This window comes from Homo sapiens, chromosome X (genome assembly GCF_000001405.40).
Source record: "Homo sapiens chromosome X, GRCh38.p14 Primary Assembly".
Lineage (NCBI taxonomy): Eukaryota > Metazoa > Chordata > Mammalia > Primates > Hominidae > Homo > Homo sapiens.
In genome coordinates, this window is record NC_000023.11 from 142685895 (window position 1) to 142704343 (window position 18449).

Consider the following 18449-nt stretch of genomic DNA (forward strand, 5'->3'; position numbering starts at 1 on the left):
ATGCCCCAAGAGATGAATTTAGGAGTGTGAACCAGTGGAAATTGTCATGTCGCAAATTGAAGAACGGTTTGTGGGTAAACGTATAGGGTCTGTCATCTCAGTTGCTTTATTATTCACGGGTCCTATATAACAAAAAAAAATAAGGTCAGTGGCAAGATGTGGCTTTCTGATCTCCTCTAGGAAGGTCTGAGAACAATGGACAGGGTTGTTCACTGAAGGAATCCTTCAAAGAGAGGCTTACTGACATCTTGATTCCCACCGAGGGGTCATGCCAATCGACAGGTGCAGTTTGTAAGGCAATATCTATAAGAAGACATCTATCTTTATGAAAGTCCAATGGAGCTTTCACTCTTCTTTTCAATTCCCTGTGAACCCAGAGGTGGGTTAGATATTTTTGGAATGTGCCACAGGCAGCCAGGCAGGTGGAAGATTTCATTCCACCCCATCTCTGTTCTAAAATAATGAAAGAAGCTCCAAGAAATTGTACCTGTCAAATCTGTCAGAGAGTAAAAGCAAGATGATATCATTCTGACAGATTTCAGCAGCCATTCTGCTGATCATCCATGTTACTACTGCACTATGTTCCCGAGGAACTGATAGGTGAGCAGTGAATTATATGTTTCAGAATTAACTCAAAAGGATCTCTCAAATGTATTTGTAGCATTTCAACAAGTTTGGAAAAGCTGACTTTGTATTTCTGAAAGGGTTGCATTTGGGAGCAAGACAGAGAGGGAGAGAGAACGAGAGAGAGAATGAGAGAGAGAGAGGCTTAATATATGTTGAATATGAATAAAGGAGACAGTATGATCATATTCCTGTCTCGTTCCTTAGTACTTGTTTTCTTGCTGTGAGTTTTACTTGCACATGTAAATGAGCTTCCTGACACCCACAGGCAGTTTGAATGCATTGAATTTCTCTCATTTCCAACTGCATCGTGGGAAAAACAAACAAACCACCTGAAGCAAGTACTATTAGCCAAAAAACAAGCATCTGTGTCCAGATAAGGAACGGAGTGTTGGCACTAAAAGACATTGGCTGTTTCTACATAGGTTTACTTGGGGACTTTATTGGATTAGTCTCTGTGTTAAATCATATATTTATTAGTCATAAAGTTGCCTTGGTGTTATCTAATCCAGCTCTATGTTGTGATAGGATTGAGTCATTATGCTCTTCCAAGTATTTTTATCTGATCTGGGGTTTAAACTGTAAAGGTCAGGTTAGTTGAATGCATTATGATAAGGGTTTAATCTATAACTAAGGACTAGATCACTACAGAGATTTGAGATTACTATTAGTTTCTTGAAAAGAGTAACACTTAGAGAAGAGCTTTAAACCTAAGTCAGAAGACCTGGAATGAATTTAAGGTTCTATATCTCTACTTATTTAACTGTGTATCCTTAGACAAGTCACTTAAACTGCTTGAACTCCAGTTATCTCATTTTCAACATGGAGCAATCACACCTACCCTGTGTTTGTTACATGGCTGTTTTTTGAGTGTCAAATAAGATAATATACTAAATCACTTTAGAATCTCTAAAGAAGTACAACAAATATGAGGTATTATAAGACATTGTAAAATATGTATAAAATCATAATTTATATTCTATTGTATTGTAGTAAAATATGCATAACATAAAACATATCACTTTAAACTTTTTGAGTGTATAATTCAGTGCCATTAAGTCCATTCACTTGATTTAGAACCATCTATACTACCCATCTCCAGAACTTTTTCATCATTTCTAACTTAAACTCTGTACTCATTAAGCAAAAACTCCCCATTCTTCCTTACCTTCTGCCTAGTAACCTCTGTTCTACTTTCTGTCTTTATAAATATGACTACTCTGGCTACCTAATAAAAGTGCCATCTTACAATATTTGTTTTTTTGTGTGTCTGGAATACTTAACTCAGCATCATGTTTTCAAAGTTTATCCATGTTGTAGCATGCCTCCGAATTTCATTTCTTTTTAAAGCAGAATGCTGCTCCACAGTATGCATTTACCAAATTTTTAAACCATTCCTCTATTGATGGACATTTTGATTATTTCAAGCTTTTGGCTATTGTGAATAATGCCACTAAGGAAATGGATATACAGGCTGGGCGCGGTGGCTCACTCCTGTAATCCCAGCACTTTGTAGGGCTGAGGCGGGCAGATCCTCAGAGGTCAGGAGTTTGAGATCAGCCTGGCCAACATGCTGAAACCCTGTGTCTACTAAAAATACAAAAATTAGCTGGGCGTGGTGGCGTGCACCTGTAATCCCAGCTACTTGGGAGGGTGAGGCGGGAGAATCCCTTGAACCCGGGAGATGGAGGTTGCAGTGAGCCGAGATGGTGCCATTGCACTCCAGCCTGGGTGACAGAAGGAGGCTCCATCTAAAAAAAAAAAAAAAAAAAAGGAAAGAAAAGAAAATGGGTATACAAATAACTGTTCAAGTCCCTGATTTAATTTTGTTAGGTATATACCACTATATATATCATATTTCACTTTATAGAAGTAAAATTTCTGGACCATATAATAATTCTATGTTTGATATTTTGAAGAACCACCCATGATTTCTATTTTTATCTCCCCAGAATTATGCAAAAAATAAGATTCTATGATGAAGAAATATTCCTTTCTCTCTCTCCCTCCCCGCTTTCCTTTCCTTCCTTTCCTTACCCTTCTCTTCCCTTCCCCCTCCCCTCCCCAGCCCTTCCTCCTCCCTCCCTTTCTTTCTTCCTTCCACAGTGAGTGAGCATTTACGCTATTCAGATCCTGTACTAGGCACAAGGGATATACTGATACATCAGACCTGTTCTCTGTCCTCCTTGATCAATTATTAATATAAATTTTAATATTAAAATTTCATTTCCGGTGTTTATATATTGCACTCTACATATTCATGGAGGGCATTTATAATCAAATTATTAAGTTCTCTAAAACTTATTTCAAACTTTAGTTCAATTTACTGGGTCATAAGAAACACTTATTTTTAATGCAATTTAATAAAATACAATAGCACACTATATTAGAAAACATGTCACATACTAAGAATAACTATTATTTCATAATACTTTTGTTTTAGAATATATATTACATATATGTTTCAGAATACACATAGGTATACTTATATATACATATGTATATATATATGTGTGTGTGTGTGTATAACCTAAAAGATGATTCCTTGTTTTAGTACTCTTTCCAGCAAACTAGGAAGGCCTTTCAGAGAGGCTGCAGGAAAAGAGTGGCAGAGAATAAACAGGAGCTAAGAGTAAGACAGCAAAGTCTTCCTTCTTCCCTATTTAATATGGTTTATCCTAACCTCTGCTAAAAATGACCAAAAGCAACTCTTATTTCCATTTTGGACTACGATACGGGACTCTTTAAAAATAAACTGATATGTGGGAAATGTGTCAATTTATTTTTAAAGAGTCCCATATTGTAGTCCAAAATGGAAAAAGAGTAATGTTCCTTTGATATTTTTCAGTTAAGAAATTAATAAACACAAGGACAAGATCTTTATATTCATAACTATGACCAAAGGTAATTTCGAGGGAAAATTCAATTCGCATCATGTAATTAGGTTCTGTGTAGCCAATATAAAAATTCACATTGACCTTTTTCAATTATGAATACAAACATTATTTTTAAAGTAGAGGAATTTTGATCTAAAATACGAATGTCACAATTTCTGCAGCTATCTCATATACTATGTAAACGCTCTACTATAATTTTTGGTTTGGGTTGTGTTTTAAGATAGCTTAACTTGACCAGGAAATTCCTGTTTTTAACAGAACATCTAACTTGAACATGAGGCATTTAATTTGAATATGAGTCATCCAACTTGAAGATAAAACATGTTAATCAGTTACACAGGTTTTTATTTTTAAAATTTGGGCCTATGCATTTAATCAAGATTTTTTTTTTAGTTGATCACATAGTGTGAAAACTATATAGTGTGGAATAACCATTAATCCTCTTTACCAAATATGCCCAGATCCCTGTCTTCTGGGTACATGAGACGAATAAACTTGTGGTTGAGTAGCAGATTTCTGTAATTGATCATATAGTGTAAATATATATATAATATAACAATTAATGTTCTTCACCAAATATGTCCAGGTCTCTATCTGCTAGGCATGTGGTAGGATTACATTTGTGCCTGACGAGTTGGGCTTTATGAAGCTTGATCAACAAATTATAAGTAGAATTCATGTATAATCACTCCTAACTGGAGGATTTTTTTTAACCTCCTTACTGACCTGTGGCTTACATGTAAAAAGCTGTATACATTTAATGTATACAAGTCAATGAATTTGAGAATGAGTATGCCTAGGCCATAGACATATTCATCACCTCCCAAAACTTTCTCCAGCCCCATTCATTGCTATTTTTTTTTCCAGCTGGGGAATTAAATTTCCAAAGCGAATCTCTCAATGAGACTATGCCCAAAGGAAAAGACACCAAGAACACTTGGGATGCTGATTGCTCTCTCAGTGTGGGTCCCCGAATAAACGTAATGATCAGAAGCCCCTTCCAATTAGAAATGAATATGCAGCATAAGCAAAAGTAAACCTTTGGTTGTTTTAAGCCACTGAAAATTTGTGATTATTGTTCTTATAGCATAATATAGCATATATTGCCTGATATATATATATATATAAAATATATTTTTTTTTATATAATGAACTAAATATCAGTGATGGCCACTCACAACTTCTAAACCAGTGCTTTATATATAGGTTTGCTTGAACAAAGAGTATAAAGATGTAAGATTTTGTCTTAATTTATCAATTTAGTCAATAAAATTTTAAAAAATTACACATCTGGCCAAAAATGAAAATGCTTGCTGAGTATATTAAGTTTCTAGTTCGTGAAGACTCCTGTATCATATTAAAATATATGATTTTTTACTCTCTATTATTAAGAGCTTTTATAATTTTATAACTTTTATAGTAGTTGCAAGTAATATGTGATGAAAAGGTTGAATGTTTAAAAGAGATAAATTCATGTAGCAACTACACTAAACTCAAGCTGCATTCACAGGGAAGGTTGGACAAATGTAACTACAAAACATACTAGATGGCAGAAATGGTGAAACTATATTCAAGTAGTTCATAGGAAACTGATACTAAAATGGTGCTAAAATGCTAATTTTTATAGGTCTTAAAAAATCTAAGTGGAAGAGTATTAGAAATGTATAGTCTCAAGTCCTCAAAAGCAATTGCATCAAACCCAAAAATTGACAAGTGAGACCTAATTAAACTAAAGAGCATCTGAACAGCAAGAGAAACTATCAACAGGGTAAACAGACAACCTGCAGAATGGGAGAAAATATTTGCAAACTATGCATCTGGCAAAGGTCTAATACCAAGAATCTATAAGGAACTTAAACAATCGAACGAGCAAAAAACTAACAAGCCCATTAAAAATGAGCAGGGCGGGCACGGTGGCTCATGCCTGTAATCCCAGCACTTTGGGAGGCCGAGGCAGGTGGATCATGAGGTCAGGAGATCGAGACCAGCCTGACCAACATGGTGAAACTCCATCTCTACTAAAAATAGAAAAATTAGCTGGGAATGGTGGCACATGCCTGTAATCCCAGCTACTCCGGAGGCTGAGGCAGGAGAATTGCTTGAACCTGGGAAGCGGAGGTTGCAGTGAGCCAAGATCGTGCCACTGCACTCCAGCCTGGTGACGGAGCAAGACTCCGTCTCAAAAAAAAAAAAAAAAAAAGAATAAGCAAAAGTTATAAATACAGACTTCTCAAAAGAAGACATATGAGTGACCAACAAACATATGGAAAAATGCTTAACATCAGTAATCATCAGAGAAATGCGAATCAAAACTACATTGAGATACCATCTCACACCAGTCAGAATGGCTATCATTAAAAAGGTGAAAAACAACAGATGCTGGCAAGGTTGCAGGGAAAAGGGAATGCTTATACATTGTTTGTGGGAATGTAAAGTAGTTCAGCCTCTGTGGAAAGCAGTTTGGAGATTTTTCAAAGAACTTAAAACACAACTACCATGCAACCCAGCAATTCCATTACTGGGAACATATCCAAAAGAAAACAAATATTTCCACCAAAAACTCACATGCACTTACATATTCATCGCAACACTATTCACAATAGCAAAGACATGGAATCAACCTAGGTGTGCATCAATAGTGGATTGGATAAAGAAAACGTGATACATATACACCACGGAATACTAGACAACCATAAAAAGAATGAAATCATGTCCTTTGTAGCAACTCAGATGCAGCTGAAGGCCATAATCCTAAGCTAATTAACTCAGGAACGGAACACCAAATACTGCACGTTCTTGCTTCTAAGTGGGAGCTAATCATTGGATACACATGGACATAAAGATGGTAACAATGGGAACTGGGGACTACTGAAAGAGGGACGGAGGAAGGGGGACAAGGGTTGAAAGACTAGTAGGTACTATGCTTAGTACCTTGGCAATGGGATCAATCATAACCAAACTTCAGGATCATGCAATATACCCAGGAATCAAACCAACACATGTACACCTTGAATTTAAAATAAAAGTAAAAATGTATAGTCTCAGTGAAGATCTTTGTAACGTTTATAGCAGTGATGTATAACACCTCTGAAAGCAATCAAGTGTCATAAAAATTTACAAAACATTACATTAACAAAATATGAGGGCAATAAAAATGCTTCTACAGAAAAACTCAAGAAATTTCATGAAAACAAATATGTAAAAAAAGCAAAGTGGTATTTTTATAACCCAGTAATTCCATGGGGAGGAGCAGAAGGTTGACGGTAAATGTTTGAAGATAAAGCATCATCTCTTAATGTTTTTAAAACATGAAGAAATATGATAAAATTACTTCACCTTTAAAAAATAAAGTGTAGGTGTAACAGAGCAAAATAGCGAAATAGAAGGCTCTACCAATTTCCCCCTACCCCCTGCGGGAATACCAAATTTAGCAACAATCTACAAAAAGAGTACATTCATTAGAACCAAAAATCACGACCTCACCAAAAATCAGGTGAGCAGTCACAGTACCTCACTTTAACCTCATATCACCGGAAGAGGCACTGAAGAGAATAGGTAAGACAGTCATGATTCACCAACACCCTCCAACACACAAATCCGCCGGCAGCAGCCATGTGGCACAGAGAGAATTTGTGCTCTTCGGAGAGGGAGAGTGCCCCAATTGTGAGATTTTGCATTGAACTCAGCACTGCCCTGTCACAGCAGAAAGCAAAACTGGGCTGATCTCAGCTGACACTGGGCTGATCTCAGCTGACACCCATTCATGGAAGGAGCATTTAGAGGAGCCCTAGCCAGGGGAGAATGGCCCATCCCAGTGGTTGGGACTTGAGATTCAGCCAGCCTCACCACCATGGGCTAAAGTGTTCTGAGGTTCCAAACACACTTGAAAAACAGTCTAAGGCACAAGGGCTGCAAACCTAGCTGAGAGCTAGTGTTGAGTTGGGCTCAGAGCCAGTGTAACTGGGGGATATGCGACCTACTGAAACACCAGCCAGAGTGGCTAAGGGAGTGCTTGGACCACCCCTACCCCGACTTCAGGCAGCACAGGTAACAGCTCTAAAACAGACCTTTTAGTCCTCTTGGGGAGAGGAGGGGAAAGAGTAAGGAGAACTTTGCCTTACATATTAGATACCAGCTCATCCACAGTAGGATAGAGTACCAGTCAGAATCATGAGACACTATCTCCTGGATGAAATTTCTAGACACACCCTGGAGAAGAAGGGAACCTGTTGCCTTGATGGAAAGGACCAAGTCCTGGCAGGAACCATCACCTGTTGACGAAAGGGTGTTTATACCCTGAATAACCATTAACAATATCTAGGTAGTATGCGGTGGATCCTGGGGGAGACTCAGAGGCATGCTGGCTTCAGATGAAGCCCATCACATTCCTAGCTGTGGCAGCTGTGGTGAAGGACTCATTCTGCTTGAGAAAAGCAGAAGAAAAAGTAAAGGGGATTTTGTTTTGCACCTTAGGTGCCAGCCAGCCACAGGGGCTAGAGACCGAGGTGGGCTCTTGGGGTCCCTGATTCCAGGCCATGGCTCTTGGACAACATTTTTGGACTTGCCATGGGGCACAGAGGAGCCCACTGCCCTCCTGGCATTATTCACCACAAGCTGACTGAAGAGGCCTTGGGCTTTAAGGGAACATTGGCAGTAGCCTTGGCAGTACTATCTGTGGCGATCTGGTGGTGGTGGCCATGAAGTGAGAATGCTCTGCCTATGGAAAGGAGAGGGAAGAGTGAGAAGGACTATGTCTTTTGGTTAGAGTGCCAGATTAGCCACAGTACAACAGGAAACCAGGTAGATTTCTAAGGTTTTTGATTTCAAGCCCTGGCTCCCGTATGGCATCTCTGTACCCACCTGAGCCTGAGTGAATTCACCACATAAAGGGAAAGATACAAGTCTGGCTGGCTTTGCCCACTGAAGATTGAAGAGCCCTAGGGTCTCGAGAGACCAAGGGGGTAGGGGTGGTACTCAGGTAGTGATTACAACAGGCCTTTGGGGAGACCCAGTGCTGTTCTAAATTCAGGTCTGACCCAGTGCAGTCCCAGCAGTGGTAGCCACAGGGGTGCTTGTGTTACTCTACCCCCAGCTCATGGGGCTCAGATGACTCTCCTCCTGGTAATCCAGAGAATTCTCCCAGATCTTATCCAAGACCACCAAGGTGGTAGCTCTAAAAGTCTACAAGAATCGCAGAATTACCGGGCTTGTGGTGGCCCTTAATTCAGATATGGCTTAGATCACAAAACACAAGTCCTTTAAAATCCCTGGAAAGCCTTTCCAAGAAGGATGGGTACGAACAAGCCCACACTGTGGAGACTACAATAAATGCCTAATTTTTCAACGCCCAGACACTGACAAACATCCACAAACATCAAGACCATTCAGGAAAACCCTACCTCACCAAACAAACTAAATAAGATACCAGGGACCAACTCTGGAGAAATGAAAATACGTGACTTTTCAGACCAATAATTCAAAAGTAGCTGTTTTGAGGAAACTCAAAGAAATTTAAGATAATACAGAGAATTAATTCAGAATTCTATCAGAAAAATTTAACAAAGGGATTGAAATAATTTTTAAAAATTAAGCAGAAATTCTGGAGTTGAACATGCAATTTACATACTGAAGAATACATCAGTCTTGCAATAGCAGAGTTGATCTAACAGAATGAAGAACTTTTAATCTTTAAGGCAGGGTATTTAAAAATACACAGTCAAAGGTGACAAAAAAAAAGAAAAGAAAAACAATAAAGCATGCCTACCAGATCTTGAAAATAGCCTCAAAAGGGTAAATCTAAGTTACTGGCATTTAAGAGGAAGTAGAGAAAGAGAAGGAAAAAAAATTATAAAAAGGATAATAACAGAGAACTTCTCAAACCCAGGGAAGGATATTAATGTGTAAATTAAAGAAGGTGATAGAACACCAAGCAGATTTAACCCAAAGGCATTTAATAATCAAATTTCCAAAGATGAAGGATATAGAAAGGGCTCTAAAACCTGCAAGAAAGAAGAAACAATGATCATACAATGGAGCTCCAACATGTCTAGCAGCAGACTTTTCAGTGGAAACAATACAGGCCAGGAAAAAGTGGCATTACATATTTAAAGTGCTAAAGGCAGAAAAAAATTTACCAATTTACCCTAGAATAGCATATCCACATTCAGCATTGGACAGATCTTCTAGACAAAAAGAAATCAGCAAAGAAACATTGGACTGAATCTGGACTATTTTATCCCATTTGTTCATTTTTGTGGCCTTCTAAGTCATAATCACTGAAGTTAAGACAGCCTAAATAGTTAAACTCTGATCTATGGGTCTTCTGTGTCCTTGAGAGGAGGCTGGTTGGAAATAAAGACCCCATTCCAATTGCCCAACCTTCATTTCCTCTTCAGGAAATGAAGAGTTTCCATATTTACCATTTGAAAGCTACCATTTGGGGCCCAAGTTAGGAAGGATTTAATATTTGTTCCACCCCACTTAGCAGTCACCAGATACACATAGGATTTCTTCCTTTTACTACACGTTTTTTTCTTTTATTCAAATCAGCAGACTAGACCGTAGAACTGCAATTGGCACTTTAACCTCACAAAGTAATAAAAGCAAGCCAACTATCATCCAAGAGTCCTGACACCTAGAAGAGAAATCATATACTTCGAAAAGGAGAAAACAACTATGTGTTGAATTCAGTGGCTAAAAGAACCATGAACTTCCTCCTCTTTTTGTCAGCTTTCACTGAAAGTGATCAGCCTCAGTTTCACATTGTTTAAGATGGATTTTCATTGAGAACTTTTCTATGGTGTTTTGATTTAAATACGTATAAGTGCTGTCATAATAACTATAATGAAGGTGGTGCAGGAGCACAGAGGAAATAAAATTCAAGTGGAAATAAGATGCAAGAGGTTATGTTTAGTGGTGCATTTTTTAAACAGAAGGTTTTATCTTTGAGGATGGTTAGATTTCAACAGTAGAAATGGAAAAGATTAGGAGATTGATGCTGAGAAGGCAGGATGGAAAGGAATTTTATAAATGGATGTGTGTGTGTGTGTGTGTTTATTTTCTCTCAGAGAATGGAGGGTTATAATTTTAGATTAGGTCATTTGCAAATCTCTTCTTTAAAAGTTTAGTTTTTCTTGTTTGCATGTGGAGAAGGGTTGGGTGAGAGAGAATCTCCACTCCTTAGCCTGGAGCAACATTTATGTATGCACAATTCTTATTATCTGGATCATCTGTCTTTTTTATTATTCTCTTTGTCTGACACTTGTGAATACATGATGCCTATATAATACAGATATAATGTTTCATAGGCATGATATAACAGAGAAACTTCTCTCTCATATACTATATTATGCAAATTTAAAGTCTATTATAATGACTATGTTCAGTATGACATGGTATTCATATATATACATTTTGGTATATTTATTACAGCAACCTTTTTAAAATTCCATAGTGTTGCCACACATTATACGTACTTGAGAATGTGTATTTGAAGGAACAACTAGAACATTCTTGAACATTTGTTTCATTAATCTTCAAATATAAGGTTGATTATTGGTTCATGTAAGTAATGCCCTTTGACTTGAATTCACATGTTAGCCAATAACAGAATCAGACCCTAGAGGGCAAGTAAGCCTTCACAAAACTCATGCTTTGTCCAGTAGAGACCACCTGAATAGTTTTTCTCAATGAATGAGAGAGTAGCTTACAGTTTATTTAGGAGCTTACATCTTTAGTTTTAATTTTAAAATATTTAATTTACAAATATAAATTATGTATATTGAAGGTATACAACATGATGATTGATTTGATATACCTATACATTTTTTACTGATAACTGTAGTCAAATTAATATATCCATCACCACTCATAGTTACCATTTGTGGGTGTGTATGTGTGTGTCTCTGTGGTGAGAACACCTAAAATCTGTTTTCTTATCAGATTTCAAGTAAACAATACAGTATCGTTAACTATAGCCAACATGTTGTACATTAGATACTCAGAATTTATTCACCTTATAGCTGAAAGCTTATACCCTTTAAACTACATTTCCTCAATCCTTCTACCCCCACCACCCCCAGCCCCAGGCAACCATCATTTTATCCTCTGCTTTTATGAGTTCTCTTTTTTAGATTCTACGTATAAGAACAATCATGCGGTATTCATCTTTCTGTGTCTGGGTTATTTCACTTAGTATAATATCCTCCAGATTCATCAATGTTATCACAGATGGCAGGATTTCCTTTTTATGGGTAAATTATATTCCACTTTGTATGTGTGTGCATATGTGCATGCATATCACTTTTTCTTCATCTAGTCATCTGTTGATGGACACTTATGTTTTTCCTATAACTTGACTATTGAGAATAATGCTGTGAACATTGAACTGAAAGCTCTTTGAAATGCTGATTTCCTTTTCTCTGGATATATACCCAGAAGTGGGATTGGTGGATCATACAGTAGTTTTATTTTAAATTTTTTGAGAAACAACCATGATTTCCATAACGATTGAACCAATTTACATTCTCCCAACAGTGTACAGGGTTCCTTTTTCTCCATACCCTTGCCAACACTTGTTATCTCTTGTTTCTTTTTTTTTTTCAATGATAGCCATTCTAAGTAAATTAGTACAACCTCTGTGGAAAACAGTATGGAGATTTCTCAAAGAACTAAAAGTAGATCTACAATATGATTCATCAATTTTATTACTGGGTATCTACCCAAAGGAAAGACAAGTCATTATATCAAATTTTGATATATACATGCCCGTATGTACCTGCCTGTGTATGTTTATTGCAGCACAATGCACAATTGCAAAGATGTGGAACCAACCTAACTGCCACCGACTAATGAGTGGATAAAGAAAATGTGATGTATATACACCATAAAATACTACTCAGCCATAAAAATAATGAAATAATGTATTTTGCAGCCACCTGGATGGAGCTCGAGGCCATTATTCTAAATGAAATAACTCAGGAATGGAAAATGAAATACAACATATTCTTAATTATAAGTGGAAGCTAAGCTATGGGTACACAAAGGCATACAGAGTAGTGTAATGGACTTTGAGGACTCAGAATTGGGGAGAAAGAAAGGGGGTAAGGGATAAAAAACTAAATTTGGGGTGCAATGTCCACTACTCAGGTGATGGGTGCAATAAAATCTCAGATTTCAGCACTATACAATTCATCCATATAACCAGAAACCACTTGTACCCCAAAAGCTGTTGAAATAAATATATATATTTATATTGAAATAAACATATATATTTATATTGAAATAAATATATATTATATTGCAATAAGTATATATATTTATATTGCAATAAATATATATATTTATATTGCAATAAATATATATATTTATATCGCAATATAAATATATATATTTACGTTGAAATAAATATATATTTATGTTGAAATAAATATATATAATGTATATATAATGCAAATCAGTGAATACAATATGAAGTGTAAATTTTTATGAATTATTAATAGCACACCTCTGTAATACCCTAAGTTAAAAGCGTAGACTATTTCCAAGTACCCTCCTGCCTCTTAATTAAGTACGATGCTTACGTTTACTCAATAATTAACCACTAGCCTGGATATTTTTTCTTCAAATGCTTCCTTTTACCTAACATATTTAATGACCTAGGTATGCATCTCTAAATGTTAGAGTATAGTTTTGTCTAATTTTAATATTACCTTAATTGAGTCAAATAGTAATCGGTAACTTATGCTATTTCTGTATTGCTCAATGTTGTATTTTTAACTCTTCATTCCTGTAGCTGTGTAGTGGTAGTTTACTTTCCTACTGTATAATATCAGTTATATTAAAATACTTTTATTGATCCTAAAATATATTAGCCGTTCTAATAGGTGTGAGTTAATATCTCATTGCAGTTTCAATCTGTATTGCTCTGATGATTAGCGATGTTGAGCGTATTTTCATATTCCTTTTGGTCATTGGTATGTCTTCTTTGGAAAAAAATGTCTGCTCAGGTCTTTGGCTTATTTTTATTTTTATTCTTATTGCCATTGAGTTGTATGAATTCCATATATATTTTCAATATTAACCCCTTATCAAATATATGGCTTCCAATTATCTTCTTCCATTCCATAAATTGCCTTTTTATTTTATGGCTTGTTTTCTTTGCTGTGCAGAAGATTTTTAGTTTGATGCATGCCCCTGTGTTTATTTGTGCTTTTGCTGCCTGTACATTTGGTGTCATATCCAAAAAAAATTATTGACAAAATCAATGTCATGGAGCATTCCCTCTATATTTTCTTTAATTTATTTCAAGTCAATTTTTATAAATGGTTGAAGCCAAGGATCTAATTTCTTTTTTTTTGTATGTGGATATCACATTTTTCCAACATCATTTATTGAAGAGACTGTTTCCCATTGTGTATTTTTGGCACTCTTTTTGAACATTCATTTACCATATATGTGTGGGCTCTCTATTTTGTTCCATTGGCTTATGTATCTGTTTTAATGCCTGTATCATACTATTTCAATTACTATAACTTTGTAATATAGTTTGAAATCAAGAAATGTAGTTTCTATGGCTTTGTTCTTGTTTCTCGAGATTGCTTTAGCTATTTGGGATCCTTTGTGTTTTCATTCAAATTTTTGGATATTTTTCTATTTCTGTGAGAAACATTATTGGAATTTCAATAGAGATTAGATGAAATCTATAGATTGCTTTGGGTAATGTGGAAATGTTAGCAATATTAATTCTTCTAATCCATGGCCAAGAGATATCTTTCCCTTTATTTGTGTCTTCTTTCTTTCATCAGTGCCTTATAGTTTTTAGTGTATAGATATTTTACCTCCTTTGTTTAAATTTATTCCTAAACATTTTATTCTTTGTGATGCCATAATAAATGGAATTATTCTTAATTTTGTTTTTTGGATACCTTCAGGTTCATGGCCTTTAAGCATGCTAGAGGCACTTTCACTTCTGCTGTTCTACCCTATGCAAGACAAAACACGACACTTTCGGGGTATCTAGTGTTGGTCATCAGGTTAGTAAGCATGACTGTGTCCTAGTGTTGAAATTATTTTTCTTTCACACTAAAAGAAAAGTGACTTGAATGAGGCACTTACAATTTTTGGCCTTCATTTCATATGAAAGGCAATTGAGAATGTTAGAGTTAGTTTTTATATGAGTCCTATGTATGTCAATATATATTTAATTCATTGTTTAACAAGTGACTAAATAAATTAATTACATTGTGAGGTGCATCCATAATTGATCATTCAATGATACTTTTGATTAATTTTTTTCTCATATTTAAGGCCAAATTGAAGTACAGAGGAGAGAAAGTGAAGTAGTTTTAAGCCATAAAATCTATTTTTAGGCAACCTCAGTTCAAATATCAGTCCTACCACTTTCTAGTTATGTGGCTTTGCACAAGGCACACATCCTCTTGGTTCAGTGTCTTCATCTGTCCATGTTGTTAATAAGATCACTTACTTCATAGGGTTTTTCTGAGGAGTATATGAAGGTGGAGAATATAAACATAAATATATACACATATATGATGTCATATGTTATCTATGATTAATTTCGGATGCAGAAGTTGAAATTAAAGGGCACAGCTGTAGTCATAATTCTGATGTTTACTACCAGAAAAGCCTTAGGCGTGTTCCTTGCCCTCTCTGGATCTGTGTTTCTTCAGCCATAAGATAGGAGGTTTGAAGCCAATAGTCTCTAATATTGTTTCCCAGATTGGTTATATTGTTCATTAGACATAAAATTTGCCATTATTTTTCATTATTTTATAATACTTCATGATCTGGGCCATGAAAAAATGCCAAAACTTTATTTCACACTGATTTTTTATTTTTACTAAAAGGTTTAATCATAGGAAAATGTTATTTTATGGAACATCACATCTGCTCTGTGGTTTAACATTGAAAAAAAAAGCCTGTGTCTACTGAGATATGAGTTAACAAAAAACACTAAGTCTGATGGTCCTAGTCGTCACTGAACATTGCAGTAGAAACATAAAGTATGGCCTTCCATCATCGTTCTATGATGGCTTTTTTTGAAGGCTCACCTTACATTTCATGAACATATTTCAACTTACTACACTCATTTCAGGCATTTTCTAAACCATCAAAGGAAATGAGCTGCTTTTTTTTTTAACTTTTTATGAGCTTATGTTGTTTTCTGAGTTCCATCTTCAATCTATGTGTGATATCTACAGTCCTAATGAAAGTAAAGGAATTAGTTGAGCAGAAACCATGAAGTTTCTAAAAATGTCTCTTCTAGTCTTATTGTCTTGAGGGTCTTTGTTTATTGTGATTTTAAAGGTTCCTTGATTCTCACGTTATATATCAAGAAAAGCAGTAGAAGAAAGTGACATGTGAAAAGTTTACATTAATGTAAGAAATAACTTTGCAACCAAGAGAGTTATTTACCAGTTTATTGTGTTCTGTTATGAAGTAAGATTTTTGAGTAGACAAGTAATAAGACAGAACTAAAAATTATTCTTTTAGGAGGATACATTGGCATTATGCAACCGAAATCATGCTCATTTTGGCTACAAAACCAGTAATTATAGCATAAGCTTTGGCACATGACGGACCTGAATTTAAAGTCTAGCTCCACAAATAACTGGCTATATGGCTCCAGATAAGGTTAAATAACCTAACTTGGAGTATCAACAACTTGATCCATAATATGGGAATTACAACTAATATATATCTTATAAAGTCTTTGTGACAATTACCAAAGTATTTATAATTATTACATGGTATTTAGAAATCTGAAATAGTTCTTTTTGCTTTTTGATTTTGGTATTTAAAGAAGATTTACAAAAACCGATGTTACATTATACATCTTTTTTTGACAAATAAACATAAACTATACAGGCCTCTGTATCCCTCAAATCATTGGCCTTTGAGAAAAGTGGCAGAGGGCTCTAGATGATATCTTACAGTCAACAATTCACCCTTAAACGTGTATAGCTGAGGCTGGGTTATGAAAAACTGAGATAAATCATTGTAGTTTGTCTTAAAACTCATCACTGTTTCTGTGAAAATAACAACTAGTAATTGACAGTTTTGTGGAGGCTACTATACAGTTAGGCTTTTAAAAGTCTGAATTAATATCCTCAATTATTTTCATGGCAATATTTCTTACAATTTAAACCACAAACTCAACAATCATTGAATGAAATTTATAAAGCTATGAAAAAAGAAAGGCATTAAAAGCATTTACATTTGTGGAAGAAAAAGATCACAACATTTTATAAGGTGTTTAACTGTATTTACTAAAACAATGGAGAAAAATTTTATTTTTAATGGAATAACAGTCCATTGCTACATACAAATATATTTTAGAGAACACTGAAATCAAGGCTTTGTAGATTGGTGAAATCAGCTATGATTATGAGGAGGGTAATGATAAAGGTGATGTTTATAATGATAATGGTGGTGTTTGAAAGAATAACGATGTGCTTTTCTATTATCTTCATTCAGTGTGCCTTGTATCACTCATCTTTATGACAGGGTTATATGTGTTTATTGCCCTTAGACTTTTCAAATGTAAAATAACCTGACAGATGTCATAAAGATATTTCCCAAATGAGAAATCCGAGGTGACACTTCACTAATAGATGTAGTTTAGAATATTATTCAGAGTCAGACAGAACTAAGTTATAACACTGGTTCTGCAACCAATGGTTTTGGCAAGTACCCTTGGTCAACTTATTTAATCTTTCTGAACTACAGTTTCCTCATCTGCAAAATGATGATAAACCTAATCTACTTAGTGTTGTTGTAAGAAATAAATGAAACTGCACACATAAAGTAATTAGCATAATTTCTGACATATTGTGATCACTTAGCAAACTTTTTTAAAAATTTTTGTCATATTCTGTATTTTCTTTTCTATATTTGGAAGTAGTATAATGTTAAAAAAGGCTCTGGAGCCACAATGTATAAGATCATATCTCACCTTCACAATTAACAGCACATACTACTCTTGTGATATTGGGAAACTTAAACTTTTTGTGCTTTAGATTATTCCACTATAAAATGGGGAAGTATGTAAAAGATTTTGCGAGAAGAAAATATGATAATACATGTAAGGTACTTGAAATAGCTCTTGGAGCATAACAAGTTCTCATTAAATTATGATTTAATTAATCCTAACTTCATTTTCCACTTGTCAATATATAAAATGCATAATTATTATTTTTCTTTAGTTTGAGACGGAGTCTTGCTCTGTCACCAGGCTGGAGTGCAGTGATGCAATCTCGGCTCACTCCAACCTCCACTTCCCAGGTTCAAGTGATTCTCCTGCGCCTCAGCCTGCCGAGTAGCTGGGACTACAGGCACACGCCACCATGCCTACCTAATTTTTGTTTTTTTTTGTTTTTTTTTTTTTTTGTTTTAGTAGAGACAGGATTTCACCATGTTGGCCAGGATGGTCTCGATCTCCTGACCTCGTGATCCGCCCACCTCAGCCTCCCAAAGTGCTGGGATTACAGGTGTGAGCCACCATGCCCAGCCATAAAATGCATAGCTTTTTAATGTGAAACTATATCCCCATTAATAGTGAATGTGATATTGAGTGGTGTGTTGCATTGAAGGCAATAATTGTGTTATCTAAGAATTAATTATCATTCTTGAAAGCATTCTTAAAAATCACCTATACATTTCTTCAAAATAAGAATTACAATCCAACACCTATTTATCATAAAATTTTATTAAACGTGAAATAGTGGGACATTTCCTCAACTTAATAAAGAATATCTACCAAAAGATACAGCCAACATTATACTTAATGGTGAGAAACCAGAAGTTTCCCTACTAAGACTGAAAAAAAGGCAAGAATGTCTCCTTCACCACTTCTTTTTAACATTATGCTGTAAGTCCTAACTAATGAAAATAGAAAGGAATAGGAAA